The sequence below is a fragment of the Homo sapiens genome, chromosome 19 (assembly GCF_000001405.40).
Source record: "Homo sapiens chromosome 19, GRCh38.p14 Primary Assembly".
In the NCBI taxonomy this organism is placed as follows: domain Eukaryota; kingdom Metazoa; phylum Chordata; class Mammalia; order Primates; family Hominidae; genus Homo; species Homo sapiens.
Window position 1 is genome coordinate 46,836,314 of NC_000019.10, and position 23,249 is coordinate 46,859,562.

General features: G+C 51.4%; 1 protein-coding gene across 7 annotated transcripts, besides 4 other annotated features; it reads right to left on the reverse strand.

Moving 5' to 3' along the window:
• On the reverse strand, window positions 1,854–14,533 carry AP2S1 (adaptor related protein complex 2 subunit sigma 1). Of its 7 annotated transcripts, XM_011526423.3 has the most exons (6): window positions 14,343–14,533; window positions 13,821–13,975; window positions 9,680–9,829; window positions 3,152–3,307; window positions 2,427–2,486; window positions 1,854–2,235 (listed from the first exon to the last, which is right to left on the reverse strand). In XM_011526423.3, exons 2-6 carry the CDS (start codon window positions 13,869–13,871, stop codon window positions 2,134–2,136), a joined length of 519 nt encoding a protein of 172 aa, XP_011524725.1. In that variant the 5' UTR covers window positions 13,872–13,975; window positions 14,343–14,533; the 3' UTR covers window positions 1,854–2,133. The 7 variants fall into 7 exon arrangements, with proteins under 7 accessions (XP_011524725.1, NP_004060.2, NP_001288007.1 ...); NM_004069.6 differs by lacking the exon at window positions 13,821–13,975 and having other exon boundaries at window positions 3,152–3,265; window positions 14,451–14,533; NM_001301078.3 differs by lacking the exon at window positions 13,821–13,975 and having other exon boundaries at window positions 14,451–14,533.
• Window positions 1,896–2,396: an enhancer, noted in NCBI's record as "H3K27ac hESC enhancer chr19:47341466-47341966 (GRCh37/hg19 assembly coordinates)". NCBI's record gives its function as "activates a minimal SCP1, AML or CMV promoter by ChIP-STARR-seq in primed H9 embryonic stem cells {active_cell/tissue: H9 hESC(primed)}" and the evidence as "EXISTENCE:reporter gene assay evidence [ECO:0000049][PMID:30033119]".
• Window positions 14,548–14,857: an enhancer, noted in NCBI's record as "active region_14851". NCBI's record gives its function as "activates an Ori minimal core promoter by ATAC-STARR-seq in GM12878 lymphoblastoid cells {active_cell/tissue: GM12878}" and the evidence as "EXISTENCE:reporter gene assay evidence [ECO:0000049][PMID:35858748]".
• Window positions 19,030–19,968: an enhancer, noted in NCBI's record as "H3K4me1 hESC enhancer chr19:47358600-47359538 (GRCh37/hg19 assembly coordinates)". NCBI's record gives its function as "activates a minimal SCP1, AML or CMV promoter by ChIP-STARR-seq in naive H9 embryonic stem cells {active_cell/tissue: H9 hESC(naive)}" and the evidence as "EXISTENCE:reporter gene assay evidence [ECO:0000049][PMID:30033119]".
• Window positions 19,969–20,905: an enhancer, noted in NCBI's record as "H3K4me1 hESC enhancer chr19:47359539-47360475 (GRCh37/hg19 assembly coordinates)". NCBI's record gives its function as "activates a minimal SCP1, AML or CMV promoter by ChIP-STARR-seq in primed H9 embryonic stem cells {active_cell/tissue: H9 hESC(primed)}" and the evidence as "EXISTENCE:reporter gene assay evidence [ECO:0000049][PMID:30033119]".

Genomic DNA, 23,249 nt, shown 5'->3' on the forward strand with positions numbered 1-23,249 from the left:
CTTGCAATCCCAGCAATTTGGAGGCTGAGGCGGGCGGACCATTTGAGCTCAGGAGTTCGAGACCAGCCTGGCCAACATGGTGAAACCCCGTCTCTACTAAAAATACAAAAATTAGCCGGGCATGGTGGCAGGCGCCTGTAGTCCCAGTTACTCGGGAGGCTGAGGCAGGAGAATCACTTGAGCCTGGGAGGTAGAGGTGGCAGTGAGCCAAGATTGTGCCATTGCACTCCAGCCTGGGGAGTGACAGAATAAGACCCTGTCAAAAAGAAAGGAAGGAAGGAAGGAAAGAAACTGACAGGGGCCAGGGTGTTCTCAGCTTGCGAAGGATGCCAGGCATAGGTGTGGCCAGCAGCCCCCACACTCTGCTCTCAGTGGGCATCGGGGGCCCCTTAACTTCAGAGGGCCCTAGAAACACTCAGGGGTGGCTTCTATCATCACAATGGCCAGAAGGCCACTTCTGGCACTTGGTGGGTGGAAGTCAAAAGTCCATCCACTTCTGGAGCAGCCTCACAATGAGGGATTGTCCTGGCCCAAATGCCAGCAGTGCTGTTGCCAAGAAACACAAATCATCAAGCCCAGTGCCTACATTTCCAACAACCACCGGGGCGAGCAGATAAAAATGAGGGTTCTGGAGCTACCCACCTGGCTTCAAAACTGGCTCAAAACAAACCTGGCTTGGCTACTGACTAGCTACAGACCTTGGTCAAGTCGTCTTTTTTTTTTAGATGGAGTCTCGCTCTGTTGCCCAGGCTGGAATGCAGTGGCACAATCTCGGCTCACTGCAACCTCTGCCTCCCGGGTTCAAGCAATTCTCCTGCCTCAGCCTCCTGAGTAGCTGGGATTACAGGTGCATGCCACCATGCCCAGCTAATTTTTATATTTTTAGTAGAGACAGGGTTTCACCATGTTGGCCAGGATGGTCTCAATCTCTTGACCCGCCTCAGCCTCCCAAAGTGCTGGGATTACAGGCGTGAGCCGCTGCGCCCAGCCTGGTCAAGTCTTTTAATGTTCCTGAAACATTCCTGGAACAATGTTCTCACTTGGAAAATGGGGATAATAACAGTCCTGTCCTTGGCCGGATAGAGTGGCTCACGCCTGTAATCCCAGAACTCTGGGAGGCCAAGGCAGGAAGATCACTTGAGCCAGGAGATCACTCCAGCCTGGGCAACAGAGCAAGACTCCATCTCAAAAAAAAAAAACTTAGCTGGGCATGGTGGCACGCACCTGTAATCTCAGCTACTTTGGAGGCTGAGGCAGGAGAATCACTTGAAACTGGGAGGCAGAGGTTGCAGTGAGCCGAGCTAGCGCTATTGCACTCCAGCCTGGGCAAAAAGAGCGAAACTCCATCTCAAAAAAAAAAAAAAAAATTAACCAGGTATGGTGGCACACATCTGTAGTCCCAGCTACTTGGGAGGCTGAGGTGGGAGGATCAACTGAGCCCAGGAGGTCAAGGCGGCAGTGAGCCATGATCCTGCCACTGCACTCCAGCCTGGGCAATAGAGTGAGACCATGTCTCAAAAAAAAAAAAAATAGTCCCAGACTTATAATCTAGTGAGCTTTAAGTAAGGTAAGACATGTCAATTGCTTAGAACAATGCCTGGGAGAGGGTGAGTGCCCTTCAGCATTAGCTGAGTATTGTTATTTTAGTAGCAAGTGCCTGGAATCTAAACCCATCACCCCTTCCAGCCTGGGGGCCCTTGGTGAGCAGGAGCAGGTCTGAAGAGCACCTGGGTGTCTCACCTTGCTCAGCACAATGAGGGGCGTTTGTTGACTGACTGACTGATGGACTGAAGGCAAGGCATCCTAGGTATCTGGTTCCCAGGGGAGACAGGCAAGGGCTCAAAGACGGCAAGGCCAGGCAGGACCACAGGTTTATTGGGGACTCCACGCACAGACGCTTATGGCATCACACGACAACGGCACGGTTACTCGGGACACACACGGTGGCCTCTGCCCACAGCCAGGGCCCAGAGGCAGTGGGGTGCAGTCTCCTCCCTTGTGGCCCAGACCCAGCTGGGTCCCTTCCTCCTAGGCAGCTGAGGGAAGGACTGCTGGGTTGGCCACGGGCCTGGGAAGGGGAAGCGAGCAGGCGAGTCCAGGAGGGGCCGGGGCCGGGGTGGGGCTCGCCTGCCCTCACTCCAGGGACTGTAGCATCAGCAGCTGTTTCAGCACCTTCGTCTGGCTGGTCTCTCGGATTTCGCCAGCCAGGAACATCTCGTCCACGACCGTGTAAACCTGTGTGAGGGGAGACCCTGGGGTGAGACGAGGCCCCCCAGGATGCTGGCCCGGACCCTGGAAGCTGGGGCTCTGATGCCCCTCGAGCTGGGACACAGACCTCAGCAGAGGCTCCGGGTGGCTAGTGCACCACGGGTCCCCCCCGTCCCCCTCCTCTGGCTCCTTCAGCCTCCTCTTCACCAGGAGCCTACCTTGTAGAAGTTGAACACCAGGTCCAGTTCACAGACATTGTGGAAATATTCGTTTAAGACCTGGGAGAGGAAGGCAGAGATGGTAAGAGATGGGCAGGGAGAGAGCCACACACGCACAGAGATGGGAACAAGGTCATCAGAAAGAGACAGCAAAAAAAGAGACCAAGGGGGAGGCAGGGGAGAGAGAGAGACAGTGACAGGGAGAGAGGCAAGGAGACACACAGAGAGAAACAAAAGCAAAGATCGATGCAAAGAGATGGCAAAAGGTCAGGCGCGGTGGCTCACACCTGTAATCCCAGCACTTTGGGAGGCTAAGGCAGAAGGATGACTTGAAGTTAGGAGTGCAAGACCAGCCTGGCCAACATGGTGAAACCCCATCTCTACTAAAAATACAAAAATTAGCTGGGCATCGTGGCGTGTGCCTGTAATCCCAGCTACTCAAGAGGCTGAGGCAGGAGAATCACTTGAACCTGGGAGGTGGAGGCTGCAATGAGCCAAGATTGCACCACTGCACTCCAGCCTGGGCGACAGAACAAGACTCCGTCTCAAAAAAAAAAAAAAAAAAAAAAAAAAAAAAAGAAAAAGAAAAAAAAGAAATGGAGAGGGAGAGTCCCAGTCACTGCAGAGGGAGGGCTCAGGAGGGACCAGGGAGGGTTCCCAGGCCTTGGGGGCCACTCCAGGGCTGCCCACCCGCCTCCCCACCTTACATCCCTCTCCCGCCGTACCTCCACGAAGTTGTGAATGGCCTCCAGGTAAGCCAGGTTGTTGTCATTGACATCCACACAGATGCAGAAGTAGAGGCCAGCATAGCGGCGGTAAATGATCTTAAAGTTCCGGAACTGCAGAACAGAGAGGCTGTCAGCAACGGAGATTGCCAGGACCTAACGTGCCAGACAGAGTGGGGCCAAAACATTCACTCCTTCACTCCATACGTGGTCCCGAGGCCCAGCTCTGTGCCTGGCCCTGTGCTGGGGTCACAGCAGTGACCGAGACAGCCCTAACCCTGCTCACAGTGCAGCGGGGGCAGGCATCCCCAGAATGGACAGGATGGGCTGTGAGAGCCCAAAGAGGGTGCCTAACCCCCTCTGATCCTGGAGAGTCAGGAGGGCTTCCTGGAGGAGGGGGTATCGGAGCTGAGAGCTGGAGGATAGGCAGGAATGTTCTAAGCAGATAGCAAAAGCCCGGGGCTGGGCGGGAGCCTGACGTGTTCAATAGTGTCCATGCAACCTTGCCACTCCCTTCTGTGACTTCCTGCTACCTCTGGAGACAGTCACATCCCTTAGCCTGGAATTAATTAACTCAATTATTTAACAAATACTTCCTGAGCAGCTACTCTATGCCAGGCCTGTGATAGGCAGTGTGGGGAGGAGGGTTACCACTGCCACCAAGACGATCCTGGGTCCTTGTCCTGCCCTCACTGAAATGCGATATACACAGTTAGCAATAGTAACACAGACACACACCGTGAACAAACATGCCAGGATCAGGGACATGGATTCTCATTTTATGCGCGTGTTAAGTAGACAAAGACAGATATATATGCATACTGGGTTGCAAAGTACAATGTCTTTGGCCAAAACCTGAAAATCCAGTTCAGTTCTATATGTTCTCAATGTCAGGTTCATTACAAAAAAAAAAAAAAAAAAAATCCCAGCACTCCAGGAGGCCGGGCGAGAGGATCACTTGAGCCCAGGAGTTTCAGGCCAGCTTGGGCAACATGGTGAAACCCCATCTATACAAAAGTACAAAACTTAGCTGGGTATGGTGGCGTGTACCTGTGGTCCCAGCTACTCGGGAGGCTGAGGTGGGGAGATGACCTGAGCCTGGGAGGTCAAAGCTGCTGTGAGCCACGTTCCCATCACTGCACTCCAGCCCGGGAGACCCTGTCTCAAAAAACACAAAAAAACAGCAGCTCTAGGTCTGGGGTGTGCCTGTGTCGCCACCTGCTGACAGCTATGAGTGCCAGCATCAGTCTTCGGCATTTTTTTTTTTTTTTTTTTTTGAGTCTGGCTCTGACGCCCAGGCTGGAGAGCAGTGGCTCGATCTCGGCTCACTGCAATCTCTGCCTCTTGGGTTCAAGCGATTCTCCTGCCTCAGTCTCCCGAGTAGCTGGGATTACAGGCGCGCCACCACACCCAGCTAATAGCTTTTTACTCATTTTTTCAGCTCAATCTCTTGTTCATTGCTATACTCCAAGCATGTTTTCAGGGTTTTTTTTGTTTTTTGGTTTTTTTGAGACAGTCTCACTCTGTCGCCCAGGCCAGAGTGCAGCGGCGCAATCTTGGCTCACTGCAACCTCTGCCTCCCAGGTTCAAGCAATTCTCCTGCCTCAGCCTCCTGAGTAGCTAGGAATACAGGTGTGCACCACCACGCCTGGCTAATTTTTGTATTTTTAGTAGAGATGAGGTTTTACCATGTTGGCCAGGCTGGTCTCCAACTCCTGACCTCAGATGATCCACCTGCCTCTGCCTCCCAAAGTGCTGGGATTACAGGCGTGAGCCCAGCCTGAGTATGTTTTCTGGTGTGATTACAGTAAGGCCTACATGTAATCCACGGGTAAATGAGCTGACACTGATCATCAGTGCTCCTCTCTTCTTGCAATCCAGCTTTTCTGGCTCTCACCCTCCTCCGCCTCCAGCTACTGCTCCATCTTTCCAGCCTCCCTTCCTGTTTTAAATTTCGAGGCTTCTCAGGGATCTGCTGCAGACCCCCATCTCTCCTCCAGCTACATTCTCTCAGAGAAGCACATTCTCTCATCCTGCAGGCTGGGGCAGGTGTCCCCTCTGAACATCCCACGCCACTGCCCCACCCCTGCCCTGCCCCAGCCTGACCACTGCTGGTCGCCACTGTCTGGGGATGGGTCTGTCTCCCCATTGGACTGAGCCTGTGGGGGAAGCTGGAGCTGTCACACTGTGTCCTCCATGTTGCCCTGCAAAGGGCTGGCACAGGTAATGGCCCCCAAAGACATCCACATCCTAATCCCACACCCTGTGAATATGGGACCTTATATGGCAAAAAGGGACTCTGCAGTCTCAACTTGTGACGAAGTTAAGAAGCATGAGATGGGGCGATAATCCTGGATGGTTCAGGCGGGACCAATGTCCTCACTGGGCTGCTAATAAAGGAAAGCGGGAGGCGGGACAGTGCGAGTCAGACAGAGATTGGACGACGGCCAGGTGCCGGGCCTCATGCCTATCATCCCAGCACTTTGGGAGGCCAAGGCTTGATCTCAGGAGTTCAAGAGCAGTTTAGGCAACATATCAAGACCCATCTCTATAAAACATACAAAAAATTAGTTGGGCGTGGTGGCAGGTCCCTGTAGTCCCAGCTACTCAGGAGTCTGAGGTGGGAGGATCCCTTGAGCCTGGGAGGCGGAGGCTGCAGTGAGCTATGATTGCACCACTGCACTCCGGCCTGGGGCACAGAGTGAGACCCTGTCTCAAATAATAATAATAATAACAAGAGGGATAGCCCGCATCTTCCAGTTGCCTACTCCTCCCTTTGATCTTCACTCACAAGTCCCCTCCAGGAAGCCCTCCAGACCCCCAGGCTGGGTCAGGTGCCCTCCCCCAGCCAGGCTCCTCGATCCCAGCCCTGCCTACTGTGGTTGTCACTGTCTAGGACAGGCTTGTGTTCCTTCCTGGGCTATGAGTCCCAAAGCAGCACAAGGCTGTCTCAGTGCTGCTGTGAACCTAGCACTGGGCTGATCACAGAGGAGGCACACAGAAACATTAGGTGAATACATGCACAAAGGAACAACTGAATGAATGGGCGGGCCTGGATCCTGGAGGCATGGAGGAACTCAAGACCTGAGGGTCAGCCTCCTCTGTAACATTCTCATTTGCCCAGCCGGACTTTCCGGCTGCCCCTGTATCATTGGGCCTCACTGACCCCTCCCGCGCCCCAGCCCTCAGCACAGGACCAGCCACTACATTAGCAGCAAGGTGCCCACACAGCCAGAACACCCGACACCCAGTTCCTCTCCCCCTTCCCACCTGCTGCTCTTGGTGACACCACCAGTGACCTCCTCCTGGAGAGGTAAGTCCAACCCTGTCCCCCTCCTGGCTGCTGGGACACCCAATCTCTTGGTTCTCCTCTCCCTCATCTCTCTGCCTGCAGACGTGGCCCTCTGGTGCTCTCCTCGGTCTATCCTCACTTCCCCGGTGAGCTCCTTGGCCTCGGTTTCCCTCTATGTGCAGAAATGCCGTTTCCATATCCTACCCAGCTCTCTCCAAGAACCCTGACTCGTCACTTCTTCCTGGACATCTCTGCTGGGATGTGGACGATACTCGGGGCCAGACCCCCAACACTTCCCTCCTGATCTTCACCTCCGCCTGCCCTTCCCATCTGCCCATATCAGATAATGACAGCTCCATCCTACCCGGGGGCTCAAGTGGGAAATCTAATTGTCGCCCTGGCTCTGCTTTCTCTCACATTCCACATCCAATTCTTGGCCATTCAGCTGGGTCCACCTCCAAAACGCTCCTGGCCACACCGACGGCTTCCATGCTGGTCCGGTCACCAGCATCTCCCACCTGGACCACTGCAGCCACCTCTCTCCGAGCAGTCTCCTCTATGCTCTTGCCCTATAGCGCAGCCTCAAGTCGGCCAATGGCCATGCTCTGCTCAAAACCCTCCATGGTTCAAGACCAGCCTGGACAACATAGCAATACCCCATCTCTACGAAAAATTTAAAAATTAGCCAGGCGTGGTCACTCATGGCTGTAATCCTAGGACTTTGGGAAGCTGCGGTGGGCGGATCGCTGGAGCTCAGGAGTTCGAGACCAGCCTGGGCAACATGGCGAAACCCTGTCTCTACCAAAAATACAAAAATTAGTACGGCATTGGTGGCACATGCCAATGGTCCCAGCTACTCGGGAGGCTGAGGTGGGAGAATTGCTTGACCCCGAGAGGCAGAGGTTGCAGTGAGCTGAGATCGCACCACTGCACTCTAGCCTAGGTAACAGAGTGAGAACCCACCTGAAAAGAAAAAAAAATTTAAAAATTAGATGGGCATGGAGGTGCATGCCTGTAGTCCCAGCCACTTGGCAAGCTGAGGTGGGAGGCTTGCTTGAGCCTGGGAGGGTACAGTGAGCTGTAATTGCACCACTGTACTCTAGCCTGGGAGACAGAGCAAGACCGTGTCTCTAAAAAACACCAAAAAACAAAAACAACCTTTCTTTTTTTTTTGAGAGGAGTCTTGTTCTGTTGCCCAGGCTGGAGTGCAATGGCACGATCTCGGCTCACTGCAACCTCTGCCTCCTGGATTCAAGCGATTCTCCTGCTTCAGCCTCCCGAGTAGCTGGGACTACAGGCACCCACGACCAGGCCCGGCTAATTTTTGTATTTTTAGTAGAGACGAGATTTCATCATGTTGGTCAGGCTGGTCTCCTGACCTTGTGATCCACCCACCTTGGCCTCCCAAAGTGCTGGGATTACAGGAGTGAGCCACCGCGCCCGGCCGGCAAAAACAACTTTTCTACGGCTCCCATCTGACTCATAGTAAGAGCCCAAGTCTTCCCTGCAGCCCTGCACCAAGAGATTACCCTGTTATCTTCTCTCTTTCATCTCCTCCCCTTCCTGGCTGCATTCCTGCTATCCCTGGAACGCCCTAAGTATTCTCCTGCCCCAGGGACTTTACACTTGCTGTTCCCTTGGCTTGAAATGTTCCTCTCAGACATTGGCTCCTTCCTCCCCGTCAAGTCCTTCAGGTCTTGGCTCCAATGTCACCTTTTCAGCAATGCCATCCTAACCAAACCATTTAAACCTGCATCCTGGCTGGGCGCAGTGGCTCATGCCTGTAATCCCAGCACTTTGGGAGGCCGAAGCAGGCAGATCACTTGAGCTCAAGAGTTTGAGACCAGCCTGGGCAACATGGTGAGACCCCATCGCTACCAAAAATACAAATATTAGCTGGGCTTGGTAGTGCACAAGCCTGTAGTCCCAGCTACTCAGGAGGCTGAGGTGGGAGGGTAGCTTGAACATAGGAAGTCAAGGCTGCTGTGAGCCATGTTCGTGCCACTGCACTCCCGCCTGGGTGACAGAATGAGCTCCTGTTTCAAAAAAAATTTTTTAAAGAGGGACAGGCATGGTGGCTCACGCCTGTAATCCCAGCACTTTGGGAGGCCAAGGCGGGTGGATCACTTGAGATCAGGAGGTCAAGACCAGTCTGACCAACATGGTGAAACCCCATCTCTACTAAAAATACAAAAATTAGCCAGGCGTGGTGGCGAGCACCTGTAATCCCAGCTCCTAGGGAGGCTGAGGCAGAGAATAGCTTGAACCCTGGAGGAGGTTGCAGTGAGCCAAGATTGCCCCCATTGCACTCCAGCCTGGGTGACTGAGACAGACTCCATTTCAGAAAAAAAAAAAAAAAAAGGCAAAAAAGGCCAGGCGCAGTGGCTCATGCCTGTAATCCCAGCACTTTGGAAGGCCGAGGAGGGTGGATTACAAGGTCAGGAGTTCGAGACCAGCCTGGCCAACATGGTGAAACCTCGTCTCTACCAAAAATACAAAATTAGCCTGGTGTTGTGGTGCACGCCTGTAATCCCAGCTATTTGGGAGGCTGAGGCAGGAGAATTGCTTGAACCTGGGAGGTGGAGGTTGCAGTGAGCTGAGATCATGCCACTGCACTCCAGCCTGGGTGACAGAGTAAGACTCTGTCTCAAAAAAAGTAATTAATTAATTAATTAATTAATTAATTCAATTCAATCAAATAAAAAATAAAGACAAGGTCTTGCTACATTGCCCAGGCTGGTCTTGAACACCTGGGCTCAAGCAATCCTCCCACCTTGGCTTCCCAAAGTGCTGGGATTACAGGCATGAGCCACTGCACCTGGCCTATTCTCTCTACTTTTCTGTGTTTGAACATTCTATAGGAAGTTTGAAAAACGCACCAGCAAAAAAAATTTGACCAAAAAAAAAAATTCTTTTTTAATCGTAGGCAAAAAAAATTAATAATAACAATGCAGAACAAAAAGGCAAAATATTAATACTGATTAAATCTGGGTAGTAGGTATACGAATCTCCAATCTACTTTTCTTTCATTGTACTAATCTGTATGTTTATGATTTTTCACAATGAAAAGTACAAGTAAAGGAAGGGAAGAAGCAAGCAAGCTCAAAGCAGGTTGAGTGAATGATATAGGATGGATAGAGGGTCCAAGGGGTTCTTGCAACTAGAAGCTGGGCAGGGAGTGGCGAAGTAGGGCACGAGGAAGCAGCGGGGTGCAGGAGGCATGGAGCGGGCGTCACCTCCACAAAGTTGGTGTGTTTGGCGTCTCGGACGGTGACCACGGCATGCACCTCCTCGATCAGCTTCTGTTTCTCATCATCATCAAACTGCATGTACCACTTGGCCAGGCGCGTCTTGCCTGCCCGGTTCTGGATGAGGATAAAGCGGATCTGGGGGCAGCAGGAGGAGAAGGAGGAAGTGAGAGAGGCAGAGAGGGCGGGTTGGGTGCTGCCCAACGGCCCCACCCATCCACCCAGAGGGGAGATAGGGCTCAGGGCCTCCCTGCTGCCTGACTTCCAGGGGTCTCGGCTGCTCCCCAGACCCAAGCCAGGCCGGCCTGGCCACACGCTTCATCCCGGGTCCCTCCAGCACCCCTGTGGAGTGACTTCCCTTCCACAAGTCTCCAACTCTGGAGTCAGCTCCAGGGCCCCGAGTCCCAGGCTCCTCCACCACCTCTTATCTCTCTCTGTTTTTTTTTTTTTTTTTTTTTGTAGAGACAGAGTCTTGCTACGTTGCTGGTCTCAAACTCCTGGACTCAAGCAATTCTCCCACCTCGGCCTCCCAAACTGCTGGGATCACAGGTGTGAGCCACTGTGCCCTGCTTTGTCTGCCCCTCTAGGCCTGTTTCCTCACCAGCAAAACAAGTCTCCCAAGAAGATTCATCTCACCAGGGTGGTTTTTTCATTATATTTTTTGTTATTTTTAAATTTTCAGACAGTGTCTCATTCTGTCACCCAGGCTGGAGTGCGATGGCGCAATCTCGGCTCACTGCAACCTCCGCCTCCCAGGTTCAAGCGATTCTCCTGCCTCAGTGTCCTGAGTAGCTGGGACTACAGGCACCCGCCACCACGCCTGGAAAATGTTTGTATTTTTGGTAGAGACGGGGTTTCACCATGTTGGCCAGGCTGGTCTCAAACTTCTGACCTCAGGTGATCCGCCCGCCTCTGCCTCCCAAAGTGTGGGGTTATAGGCATGGGCCACCACGCCCAGTCAGCCAGGGTTTTTTTAAAGGTTAAAAAAAAAGTTTATAAACTTAGTTCGGTGGCTGGTAGGTGGTAGATACTCAATAAACATTTGAGGTTCAGACTCCTTTGGGCTAAGTCTCAGCTCTGCCACTTCTTTTTTTCTCTTTGCTTCCTAACTTTTTATAAAATTGAAATGTAATTCACACACCATAAAATCCATCCACTTAAAATGTAGACAGTTAAATGGTTTTTGGTATATTCACTTAGTATATATTCACAGTTGTGTAAAAATCACCACTTTTTTTTTTTTTTTTGAGACAGGTTCTAGCTCTGTTGCCCAGGCTAGAGTGCAGTGGCGCGATCCCGCCTCACTGCAACCTCCACCTCCTGGGTGCAGGCCTCCCAGGTAGCTGGGACCGCAGGTGCACACCACCACGCCCAGCTAACTTTTTGTATTTTTAGTAGAGACAGTGTTTCACCATGTTGTCCAGGCTGGTCTCGAACTCCTGGCCTCAAGCGATCCACCCACCTCATCCCCCCAAAGTGCTGCATCAGGCGTGAGCCACTGCACCCCACCTAATATCACCACTATCTAATTTATTATCTAATACCAGAACATTTTCATCATCTCCCCCCAAAAAACTCCCCACCCATTAGCAGTCACTCTCCGTTCCCCCAGGGCCTGGCAGCCACGAGTCTCCTTTCTGTCTCTGTGGATGTGTCTGTTCTGGACATTGTATATGAGTGGAATCATGCACTCTGTGGCTTTCGTGTCTGGCTTCCTTCACTCAGCGTGACGTTTTCCAGGCTCATCTGTGGGGTGGCAAGCGGCAGAGCTGCAATTCCTTTCCGTGGCTGAGTGATCCTCTGTTGGATGGATAAGGCCGTACTTCGGGCATTTGGGTTGTTTCTGCTTTAGGGCTATTATGAATAATACTGCTATGAACATTCGTGTATGAGTTTTCGTGTGGATGGATCATTTCTCTTGGGTATATACCTAAGAGTGAGATTGCTGGCTCATAGGGTAACGCTATGTTTAACTTTCTCAGGAATTGCTAAACCGTTTTCCAAAGCGTCTGCCACTTTCATGACTTAACTTTGGTGCCACTTTGGTGCCTGAGTTTACTGTGAGGAGTAAAGGATATTCCTGGCCGGTCACGGTGGCTCACACCTGTAATCCCAGCACTTTGGGAGGCCAAGGCGGGCAGATCACTTGAGGTCAGGAGTTCGAGACCAGTTTGGCCAACATGGTGAAACCCCATCTGTACTAAAAATACAAAAATTAGCCAGGTGTGATGGGGGGCAGGGGGGAGGCGGCTATAATCCCAGCTACTCGGGAGGCTGAGGCATGAGAATCACTTGAACCCAGGAGGCAGAGGTTGCAGTGAGCTGACATTGCACCATTGCTCTCCAGCCTGGGTGACAGAGCGAGACGCTGTCTCAAAAAAACAAAAACAAAAACATAGAGGTATAGTACAGTGACTGGCACGTACTAAGTGTTACATAAGAACCAGCTCTTAGCAGCATTATATTTTCCATTATGTGATGTTCAGAAAACCATGGCCAAAGCTTACTCCATTAGAAGTTCTGGGCCCATTTCTGTCTGAGACAGGCATGCTCATGCCCATTTTATAGATGAGGAAACTGAGATTTAGGGAAAGGAAGTCTCACAGCCAGAAAGCAGAGGTGGGAGTCCAAAGGCTTTGCTCTGAACCACCTGACCCCAACTTGTGGGAGCCTTCTCTCTTAGGAAAGAGAGCCCTCTAGTCCTGTCTTTTTCTTTTCTTTTTTGTTTTCAGACAGTCTCACTCTGTTGCCTAGGCTGGAGTGCAGTGGCACTGTCTCGGTTCACTGCAACCTCTACCTCCAGGTTCAAGCGATTCTCCTGCCTCAGCCTCCTAAGTACCTGGGATTACAGGCGCATGCCACCATGCCCGGCTAATTTTTGTATTTTTAGTAGAGACAGGGTTTCACCATGTTGGTCAGGCTGGTCTCGAACTCCTGACCTTGTGATCTGCCTGCCTCAGCCTCCCAAAGTGCTGGGGTTACAGGCGCGAGTCACTGTGCCCAGCCTTTTTTTTTTTTTTTTTTTTGAGACAGAGTCTCACTCTGTCGCCTAGGCCAGTGGCACAATCTCGGCTCACTGCAGCCTCTGCCTCCCGGGTTCAAGCGATTCTCCTGCCTCAGCCTCCCAAGTAGCTGGGATTACAGGCATCCACCACCACACCTGGCTTATTTTTGTATTTTTAGTAGAGACGGGGTCTCACCACGTTGGCCAGGCTGGTCTCGAACTCCTGACCTTATGTGATCCGCCTGCCTCAGCCTCCCAAAGTGCTGGGATTACAGGCATGAGTCACCGCCCCAGCCTGAGAGTCTTTCCTAAGCCTCATTCTCCACACACTCTATCCTCCCTCCCCCAACCAACCAAACTGGACCGGAACAGGATGTTACACTCTCCTTCCAAGAACTCCTGCTGAGCCAGGGAAAACCACTTCCTAGCAGGGCAGGGGTCCCAGGCAGGAAGGGACGTTGGGGGGCCTACACCAGGCAGCCACAGCCTGGGAGCAGAGCCGGAGACATATTCACACAGTTAGGAGAACTAGAAGCAAACCCACAGAGTTGACAAAAAGCTCTGCCTCTTACTCCCAAATTCCCTTGTATACCTCTCCCTGTTTTCTTCCCATTTGGAATCTCAAGTCCCCTCCGTCCTGAATCTCTGCATCCTCACGCCTCTGCTGTCCCCTCTAGATGCCCCCCAACCTTCCCTGTCTCCAATCCCCCTCCTCTGGAGTTGTTCCCTTTTGACCTCCACTTTCTCAGTCTCAGTTCCCCTCCTTGGGGCCTCAATGGGCTTTTTACTGGTGACATCCCTTGTCCCACTCCCAAGCTTCCTCCCTTCTTCAAAAGGTCACATTTTGCCTCCAAGGACCCTGTTCCTGGAGGAGACTCCGCCCCCGCTCTGACACTCTTTCTCATTCGTTTTCTTTCCCAACTTCCAGCCCAAAGAACCCTTTCCTAGATCCAAAGCCCCAACCTGGGGGATAGGGGCACTCCTAAATCCAATGTTGAGTCTTTGCCCCAACAAAGATTCCTCCCCAGGTCTCACACTTTCAAGCCTACTCCCCACCCCACAAGATCTCTCCTCTTGGAAAGACCTATTCAGTTGCTCCCCATTCTTTCCGAGTGTCCATCTTACCTCCAGGTCCTCTCTCCTTTTACAGCGCTTTCCCAGACCCTTAAGTTTCATTCCCTACAGTTGCCTCCTTTTGGTTTCCTGTGCCAGGTCTCTTCTTGAGATCATCCCTCTCTCACAGGCAGTCTCCTGCCCCTGTCTCAACATCCCCTCTCCACCTGCAATCAGATCCTTGTCTCTAGAGACTCCTCCCATCAAGAAAACCTCCCTCCCCTTTTCCAAGGTCTCGCGTTCTCGTCCCAGCGCTCCCGCCACACTTCCAGAGCGCCTTCCTCTTTCGGACGCCCTCTCCCCACCTCCAATGCCTTCTCGCTACCCACAAGACTGTGTCTCACGAGTTTCCTCTCGTTTCAAAGCTTCCAACCATCTACAACGTTTCCCACCTGCACAGCCCTTTCCCCTTGGAACACCACCCCCAATGCCCGTCGCCGCGAGACCCCTGGTAACCCCCGCGCGCAGAATCACCGCCCTGTGCCCTCCTTCCCGGCCCTGGATCGGTCCCAATCCCCAGAGCCCGCGCCTGACCCAGACCATCCGCGGCAGAGAAGGGACTTGTCAGCGCCCGATCCAGCCTCGGCTATTTACGCGTGGGCCCCCCCTCCGCCAGTCCCCGGCGTAGCGCTCCCCCGTTACCATGGCGACCCCCGTCCAGACCCCAGCGGCCCCGGTCCCGCGGCGACTGGGCAGCTCCGGCTCAGGGTGCAGTTGTAGGGCCCAGAGCTAGAGCGGACTTCCGGTAGAAAAACCCGCCTGCCTTCTCGCGCACAGACCCCTGGGAGTTGTAGTTTCACCAAAGGGGCCAGCCTGGGTGAAGATGGGTGAAGAGTCAGAGCCAGTCCTTTTCCTACCAAACGAGTCAGATCCCAAGTGCATGCTGGGATTTGTGGACAAACATCTTTACAGAGGACTACAATTCCCGAGATGCTGAAGAACCAGCGGTGAAGGCGTTGCATTCAGGGAAATGTAGTTCTCTTAGGTCCCCTCCCCCCACCCAGGGGAGAAGGGCATGCTGGGAATAGTAGTTTTAAATTTTAAAAAACTGTCCTGGGGAGATAGAAAATGTCTTTCCATTCCTCATCCAGTGATTTCTTTAATTTTTTTAAAAATAGAGACAGGGGTCTAGATATATTGCCTAGGTTGATCTCGAACTCAGCTTCAAGCGACCCTCAGCCTTCCAAATCACCAGGATTACAGGCATGAGCCACCACAACACCAAGCCAGTGTTTTGCTTAAAATACGTTGCGTGTGTCTCTCGGGAGACAACAGTTTAAAAGCATAAATTTGAACCGGCCCGGCGCGGTGGCTTACTCCTGTAATCCCAGCACTTTGGGAGTCCGAGGCAGGCAGATCACTTGGTTAGGAGTTCGAGACCAGCCTAGCCAGCATGGCGAAACCCCATCTCTACTAAAAATACAAAAAATTAGCCAGGCATGGTGGTGCGCACCTGTAGTCCCAGCTACTCGGGAGGCTGAGGCAGGAGAATCACTTGAAGCCCGGAGGCAGAGGTTGCAGTGAGCCCAGATCTCGCCACTGCACTCCAGCCTGGGCAATAGAGAGAGACTCCAAAAAAAAAAAAAAATCTCTAGTTTGGCGGGGGCATGATGGCCCATGCTTGTAATCCCAGCACTTTGAGAAGCTGAGGTGGGTGGATCACCTAAGGTCAGGACTTCGAGACCAGCATGGCCAACACGGTGAAACCATTTCTACTAAAAATATAAAAATTAGCTGGGTGTGATGGCAGGTGCCTGTAATCCCAGCAACTCGGGAAGCTGAGGCAGGAGAATTGCTTGAACCTGGGAGGCAGAGGTTGCAGTGAGCCGAGATCACACCATTGCACCCTAGCTGGAATGACAAGAGCGAAACTCTGTCAAAAAAAAAAAAAACCCTCCAGGTCAGCAGTTAGTTTAGTGTTTTTTTGGTGTGTCTTTGTTTTTGCTTTTTTCTGAAAGAGGGTCTCCCTTGGTCACCCAGGCTGTAGCGCAGTGGCATGATCTCAGCTCACTGAAGCCTCAACCTGCTGGGCTCAAGTGATCCTCCCACTTCAGCCTCCCGAGTAGCTGAGACTACATACACATGCCGTCACACCTGGCTAATTTTTTGTACTTTTTGTAGAGACAGGGTCTTGCTATGTTGCCTAGGCTGCTCTTGAACTCCTGAGCTCAAGCGATCCTCCCTCCTCCACCTCCCAAAGTATTGAGATTACAGGCGTGATTTTTTAAATGGCCTTTATTACATTTTAAAAATTATTTTATTTGCCCTATGAGTATGTGTGTATGTTTGTCTAGATCTCTCATTAGGTAGTGAGTTGTTGAGGGCAGGGACCCTGTCTGATAACTGTATCTTCATTACCTAGAACATGACAGATGGTAAGCAGTCAATAAAGTTATTACTATTAGTACTGAGGGGAGATTGGCCCTAATAAGAACAAAGCATGCCAGGCATGGTGGCTCACTCCAGTAATCTCAGCACTTTGGAATGCCAAGGCAGGCAGATCACCTGAGGTCAGGAGTTCGAGACCAGCCTGCCCAACGTGGCGAAACAGCACCTCTAATAAAAATACAAAAATTGGCCGGGCTTGGTAGCACTTGCCTGTAATACCAGCTACTTGGGAGGCTGAGGCAGGAGAAGCACTTGAACCCTGGAGATGGAGGTTGCAGTGAGCCGAGATCGTGCCACTGCACTCCAGCCTGGGGGACAGAGAGAGAGAGAGACTCCATTTCAAAGAAATAATAATAATAAATTAAATAAATAAAACAAAATGTATTGTAGAATTATGTAAATTTAAGGTATAGTACTGGCAGAATAACCAACACATAGTTGTTGAATATTATAGGGGCAAAAAGAGGCCAGAGATCATTTCTGTCTTGTGTACTTTTCTGTCTCCAACAGGGTTGATACTAGGATGACACAAGCAAAGTGTCCAGGTTGCAAAATTTTAAAAGGACCTCACTCTTAGATGCCAATTCCTGTCTTACACAGGACTGAGAATATGTGCCTCATTAAATTTTGTGCCCTCAACACGTCACTTGCCTCCCCTTAGTCCCAGTCCTGATCTCCAGTGTTCAACTTAATACTTGGCACAACTCTGGTGTTCAATAAACATTTGCTGAATGAATGAATGCATTTGCAGCAAGAAAACAGACACTGCCCCCACCCTCACAGCATTCACAGTCTAGCAGGAAAAATGGACTTAAATGACATAACATAAATAAATTTAAGGCCAGGTGCAGTGGCTCATGCCTATAATCCCAGCACTTTGGGAGGCCGAGGTGGGTGGATCACCTGAGGTTGGGAGTTCAACAGCAACCTGGCCAACATGGTGAAACCCCATCTCTATTAAAAGGACAAAAATTAGCCGGGCATGGTAGCGTGTGACTGTACTCCCAGCTACTTGGGAGGCTGAGGCACGAGAATCACTTGAACCCGGGAGGCAGAGGTTGTTGTGAACTGAGAGTGTGCCACTTCACTCCAGCCTGGGCAACAGAGTGAAACTCTGTCTCAAAAAAAAAAAAAAAAAAAAAAAAGAAGGCCAGGCAGAGCCAAGTGGATCACCTGAGGTCAGGAGCTCAAGACCAGCCTGATCAATATGGTAAAACCCCATCTCTACTAAAAACACAAAAATTAGCCAGGCATGGTGGTGTGCAACTGTAGTCCCAGCTGCTAGAGAGGCTAAACAGGAGAACTGCTTGAACCCAGGAGGCAGAGGTTGCAGTGAGCCAAGATCGCGCCACTGCATTCCAGCCTGGGCTACAGAGCGAGACTCCATCTCAAAAAAAAAAAAAAAAAAAAAAAAAAGATATTAGCCAGTGCTACAGCCACGAGAACACTATCTTTTTTTCTTTCTTTCTTTTCTGAGACAGGGTCTCGCACTATAACCCAGGCTGGCATGCAGTGGTGCAATCACAGCTCATTGCAGTTTCAACCTCCGGGGCTCAAGCAATCCTCCCACCTCAGCCTCCTGAGTAGTGGGAACTACAGGCACGTGCCACCATGCCCAGCTAATTTTTAAATTTTTTGGAAAGAAGAGGTCTTGCTATATTTTCCAGGCTGGCATGTGAATGCTTGACTGGAGCTGAAGGACCTGTATTCCAGGTGGCTCGCTCCTGTGGTTGGCAAATGAATGCTGGCTATTGGCCAGAGACCTCAGCTCCTCACCACGTGAATCTGTCCACAAGGACATATGAATGTCCTCACATGGCAGCTGTTTTCCCAAAGAGTGAGTGATCTAAGAAAGAGCATGGCGGAAGCTGCTATGTCTTTTATGGCCTTGCCTCAGATCTTTTATGACACTGTCATTTCCACAATGTTCCATTGGTACCTAATCAGCCCTGTCCAATGCAGGAGGCAATGCAAATACCAGGTGAGACTCATTGGGGTCCATCTTGGAGGCTGGCTGCCACAATGGCTCATAACAGGCACCTAGCTGAGTTGAAGAGTTAGTGACAGCTTCCTAGAAGGGGTGACATTTGAGCTGAGATCAGAAGGACGAGTGGAGCCGGGCATGGTGGTGCATGCCTGTAATCCCAGCTACTCGGAAGGCTGAGGCAGGAGAATCACTTGAACCTGGGAGGCAGAGGTTGCAGTGAGCCGAGATTGTGCCACTGCACTCCAGCCTGGGCGACAGGCTGCTCCGTCTCAAATAAATAAATAAACAAACAAATAAATAAATAAATAAATAAAGGCCAGGCGCAGTGGCTCATGCCTCTGATCCTACCACTTTGAGAGGCCAAGGTGGGCGGATCACTTGAGGACAGGAGTTTGACACCAGCCTGGACAACATGGTGAAAGCCCGTCTCTACTAAAAATACAAAAATTAGTTGGGTGTGGTGGTGCACGCCTGTAATCCCAGCTACTTGGGAGGCTGAGGCAAGAGAATCGCTTGAATCCGGGAAGCAGAGATTGCAGTGAGCCGAGATGGCGCTGCTGCACTCCAGCCTCCGCGACAGGGCAAGCCTCCTTCTCAAAAAAAAAAAAAAAAAAAAAAAAAAAAAAAAAGACGAGTGGAAATTAACCAAGCAAGGATTAGTGTCCAGGATGGGGCAGAGTGCTGGGCAGAAGAACACAGGTAGGGAGAAGATCAAAACATTTTCTCTACCCTCAGGAGTCTCATGGCTTGAGTGGTTTCGAGTCTGGGGCTACATGGCACAGACATAGAAAAGATAAGTCCCGAAGGAACAATTATTTATTTTTTTATTTTGCTAGACAGGGTCTGGAACTCCTCCTGGCCTCAAGTGATCCTCCTCCCTTAGCCTCCTAACGTGCTGGAATTACAGTCGCGAGCCAGCGCGCCCGGCCTCAATTTTAAACGTTTATAAAGATAGAGAGGTTGTGGCAGGGCGCGGTGGCTCACGCCCGTAATCCTAGCACTTTGGGAGGCCGGAGCAGGTGGATTGCCTGAGCTCAGGAGTTTAAGACCACCCTGGGCAATATGACAAAACCCCGTCTCTAATAAAACTACAAAAAATCAGCGCGCCTGTAGTCCCAGCTGTTTGGGAGGCTGAGGCACGAGAATCGCTTGAATCCGGAAGGCGGAGGTTGCAGTCAACGGAGATCACGCCCTGCACTCCAGTCTGGACGACAGAGCGAGACTGTCTCAAGGAAAAAAAAAAGAGAGAGAGAGAGAAAGAGAGAGAGGTTGGCTGTTCGCGGTGGCTCACGCCTGTAATCCCAGCACTTTGGGAGGCCGAAGTGGACCGATCACTTCAGCCCAGGAGTTCGAGACCAGCCGGAGCAACATGGCGAGGCCCTGTCTCTACAAAAAATATAAAAATTAGCCGTGTGCACTGGCGCACGCCTATAGTCCCAGATACTCCGGAGGCTGAGGTGGGAGGATCCCTTCAGCTGGGGAGGAAGAGCTTGCAGTAGGCTATGATTGCACCACTGCACTCCAGCCTGGGCGACAGAGCGAGACCCTGTCTCAAATTTTTTTTAAAAAATAGATGTTTATTATGCATTCATCCAGTAGATATTTAGTGCGTCGATCTACTAAGCAAGGGGCCCAGGCACTGGGATTCCGCGGTGAATCTGAGCATCCCCGCCTCCCGTTCCTGCCTCGTGATTGGCTGCCCTTGGGCCAATGGCTGAAGAGTCCACCGCTCTGCCAGCCCCCGCGGCAATCCTCCAGCTGCAGCTTCCCCTGTTCGGTTTGCAGGCGGCGCTGTGGGCTCACTGACTCCTCCGTCACACGCAGACCTGGTCCCCACCCTCTCTGATTCTTTCAGACTCTTAGGAATGAATAGAGTGTATACCCCAGAGTCCCACCCTCTTTACAAAATCCTTTTGTGAATTTTTCTGCCTGTGCAGGTTTCCAATACAGGTCCAGAATCCCACGCCCGCCTCTTATCAACCAACACCAGCGGCTCTCCCGTTAATGTGACCTCCAGCCATTCGGCCCGTAGGCCGATGCTTGGGAAATCTTGACAGCGGCCCAAGCCGGCAGTCGGCACTTCTCTCGGTCGGTTAATTGTTTACTCGTTTGTTTATTTATCCTGGAGTGGAGGCTAGCCGGGTGCGCGGAGGCGGCTGCCCCCAGGGAAGCCCGCTTCCTGTGGTTGGCTTGCTCAACTACTATCCGCCCTCTTGCGCACTGGAAAAAATTGCAGAGCTGGGAATGCACCCCTTGATGGTTCCGTTCATGCAGTAAAACAATGCCTGGGCCCCTGCCTTGTGCCTGGATCCGTGCTAGGGACATCGACGATGACTGAAACAGCCCTGGCCCTGCCCTCAGGGGCCTTGCAGTCCGATGGGAAAGACCTATCACCAGATATGGACCACCCAAGGTGGCCAGGGCTTGGACGGGAGACCTAAAGGGACTGTGGGAGCTTGGAAGGAGCAGCTGACCCAGCCTGTTGCATCAGAGAAGGCCTCCTGGAAGAGGGGACATCTGAGCTAGCATCTCAAAGAAGGCTAGAAGGACAACCATGTAGTCTCTGGCTACCATGTCCCCAGTGCCTACCACCCCCTTGTTTAGCATTGGATTTTTTTTTTTTTTTTTTTTTTTTTTTTTGAGACGGAGTCTCCTTCTGTCACCCAGGCTGGAGTGCAGTGGTGCGATTTTGGCTCACTGCAATCTCCATCTCCCGGGTTCAAGCGATTCTCCTGCTTCAGCCTCCCTAGTAGCTGGGATTATAGGCGTGCACCACTATGCCTGGCTGATTTTTGTACGTTTTGTAGAGACAGGGTTTCGCCACGTTGTCCAGGCTGGTTTCGAACTCCTGGCCTCAAGCAATCCACCCGCCTCAGCCTTCCAAAGTGCTGGGATTACAGGCCTGAGCTACTGTGCCTGGCCGACTCATTCACTTTTATTTATTAACAAGTTTTAATTGTGGGTCATTGGCCAGACTTTGGAACTAGCCAGGGTCCCCTGCCTTCAGAGGGCTCACACATAAAATGGTGATACCAACACAGAACTTCATTTAATCTTTTTAGAGACAGGGTCTGGCCTTGTGGCCCAGGCTGGAGTGCAGTGGCACAATCATAGCTCACTGAAGCCTTGAACTCCTGGGCTTAAGTGATCTTTCTTCCTCAGTCTCCTAAAGTGCTGGGATCCAACACAGAACTGCAAACCTTGAACCCTGAAGAAATGCTACGTGTAGCAACGTGACCCAATTGTCTGGGTTTGTGTCTCAAACCTGCTGCTTACTAGCTGTGTAACTTTTCTGTACCTTATAACTTACTCATAAGGTTGTTGTGAGGATTCAGTGAGTTAATGGGTCTAAAGTGCTTTTAGACTGCTGCCTGGCATGTCCAGGCATGGCGGCTCATGCCTGTAAACTCAGCGTTTTGGGAGGCTGAGGCAGGAGGCCTGCTTGAGGCCAGGAGTTTGAGACCACCCTGGGCAACATAGCAAGACTCCATCTCTACCAAAAGAAAAAAAAAATTGGCCAAGTGTCATGGTGAGAGCATGTAGTTCCAGCTGCTCAGGAGGATTGCTTGAGCCCAGGAAGTTGAGGCTGCAGTGAGCCATGACTGGTCCACTGCACTCCAGCCTGGGCAACAGAGCAAGACCCTGTCTCAAAAAAAAAAAAAAAATCCACACACAAAAAAAAACAAATAAAAAGAATGTTGACTAGCCTGGCCAACATAGTGAAACCCCGTCTCTATTAAAAATACAAAAATTTGCCAGGTGTGGTGGCACACACCTGTAGTCCCAGCTACTCGGGAGGCTGAGGCAGAAAAATCGCTTGAACCTGGGAGGTGGAGGTTGCAGTGAGCCGAGACCTCGCCATTGCACTCCAACTTGGATGCCAGAGTGAGACTCCATCTCAAAAAACAAACAAACAAACAAACAAAAAAGACTGTTGCGGCCAGGCTCAGTGGCTCACACCTGTAATCCCAGCACTTTGGGAGGCTGAGGTGGGTGGATGGCTTGAGGCCAGGACTTCGGGACCAGCCTGGCCCGAACAGGTGAAACCCTGTCCCTACTAAAAATACAAAAATTAGCCAGATGTGGCGCCTGTAGTCCCAGCTACTCAGGAGGCTGAGGCAGAAGAATCACTTGAACCCGGGAGGTGGAGGTTGCAGTGAGCCGAGATCACACCACTGCACTCCAGCCTGGGTGACAGAACAAGACTCTGTCTTGAGAAAACAACAAAAACAAAAATTAGCGGGGCGCACGCTGGTAATCCCAGACTCTGCCTCAAAATAAAAAATAAAAATAAAAAAAGACTGTTGCTTGGCACGAAGTACTCATTTTTATTATTAAAGAACGAGGGATCAGGCCAAATCTGGGAGACTACCCTGAGAAGGTGACTTCAAGCTGAGAGTTGAAGGGTAAATCAGAGCTGATGGGCTCCCAAGGGGTTTGGGGGATCCAGAGTGAGCCCAAGCGTCCTTGTTCTCCAGATGCTGCCAGCTCACAAATTTAAGATTGAAAAGACTCGGAACACTGCATAGGCGTTGTAAAGACATTAATTTGAAATACAGGTATCAGGAATTCACTGCCCCCCACCTTGTCTTTCCTGTGTCTCCTCAAGTAATCTCAAAAGTCCCTTACACATCACGGTTTGTAATGACAGTCCACGCACTCGATTTGGCAGCCCCGCAGTGCTTAAAGAAAAGTTGTTGTTGTTTCAAGCCACTAACATCTAAAAATCAGACTGAATGCATTAAAAGTGCCTTTTTTTTTTTTTTTTTGAGACGGAGTTTCCCTCTGCTGCCCAGGCTGGAGTCCAGTGCTATCTCTGCTCACTGCAACCTCCGCTTCCCGAGTTCAAGCGATTCTCCTGCCTCAGCCTCCCGAGTAGCTGGGATTACAGGCGCCCGTCACGACGCCCACCTCATTTTTGTATTTTTAGTAGAGACGGGGTTTCATGTTGGCCAGGCTGGTCTCGAACTCCTGACCGCAAGTGATCCGCCCGCCTCGGCCTCCCAAAGTGCTGGGATTACAGGCATGAGCCACCGCGCCTGGCCCTAAAAGTGCTACATTAAAAA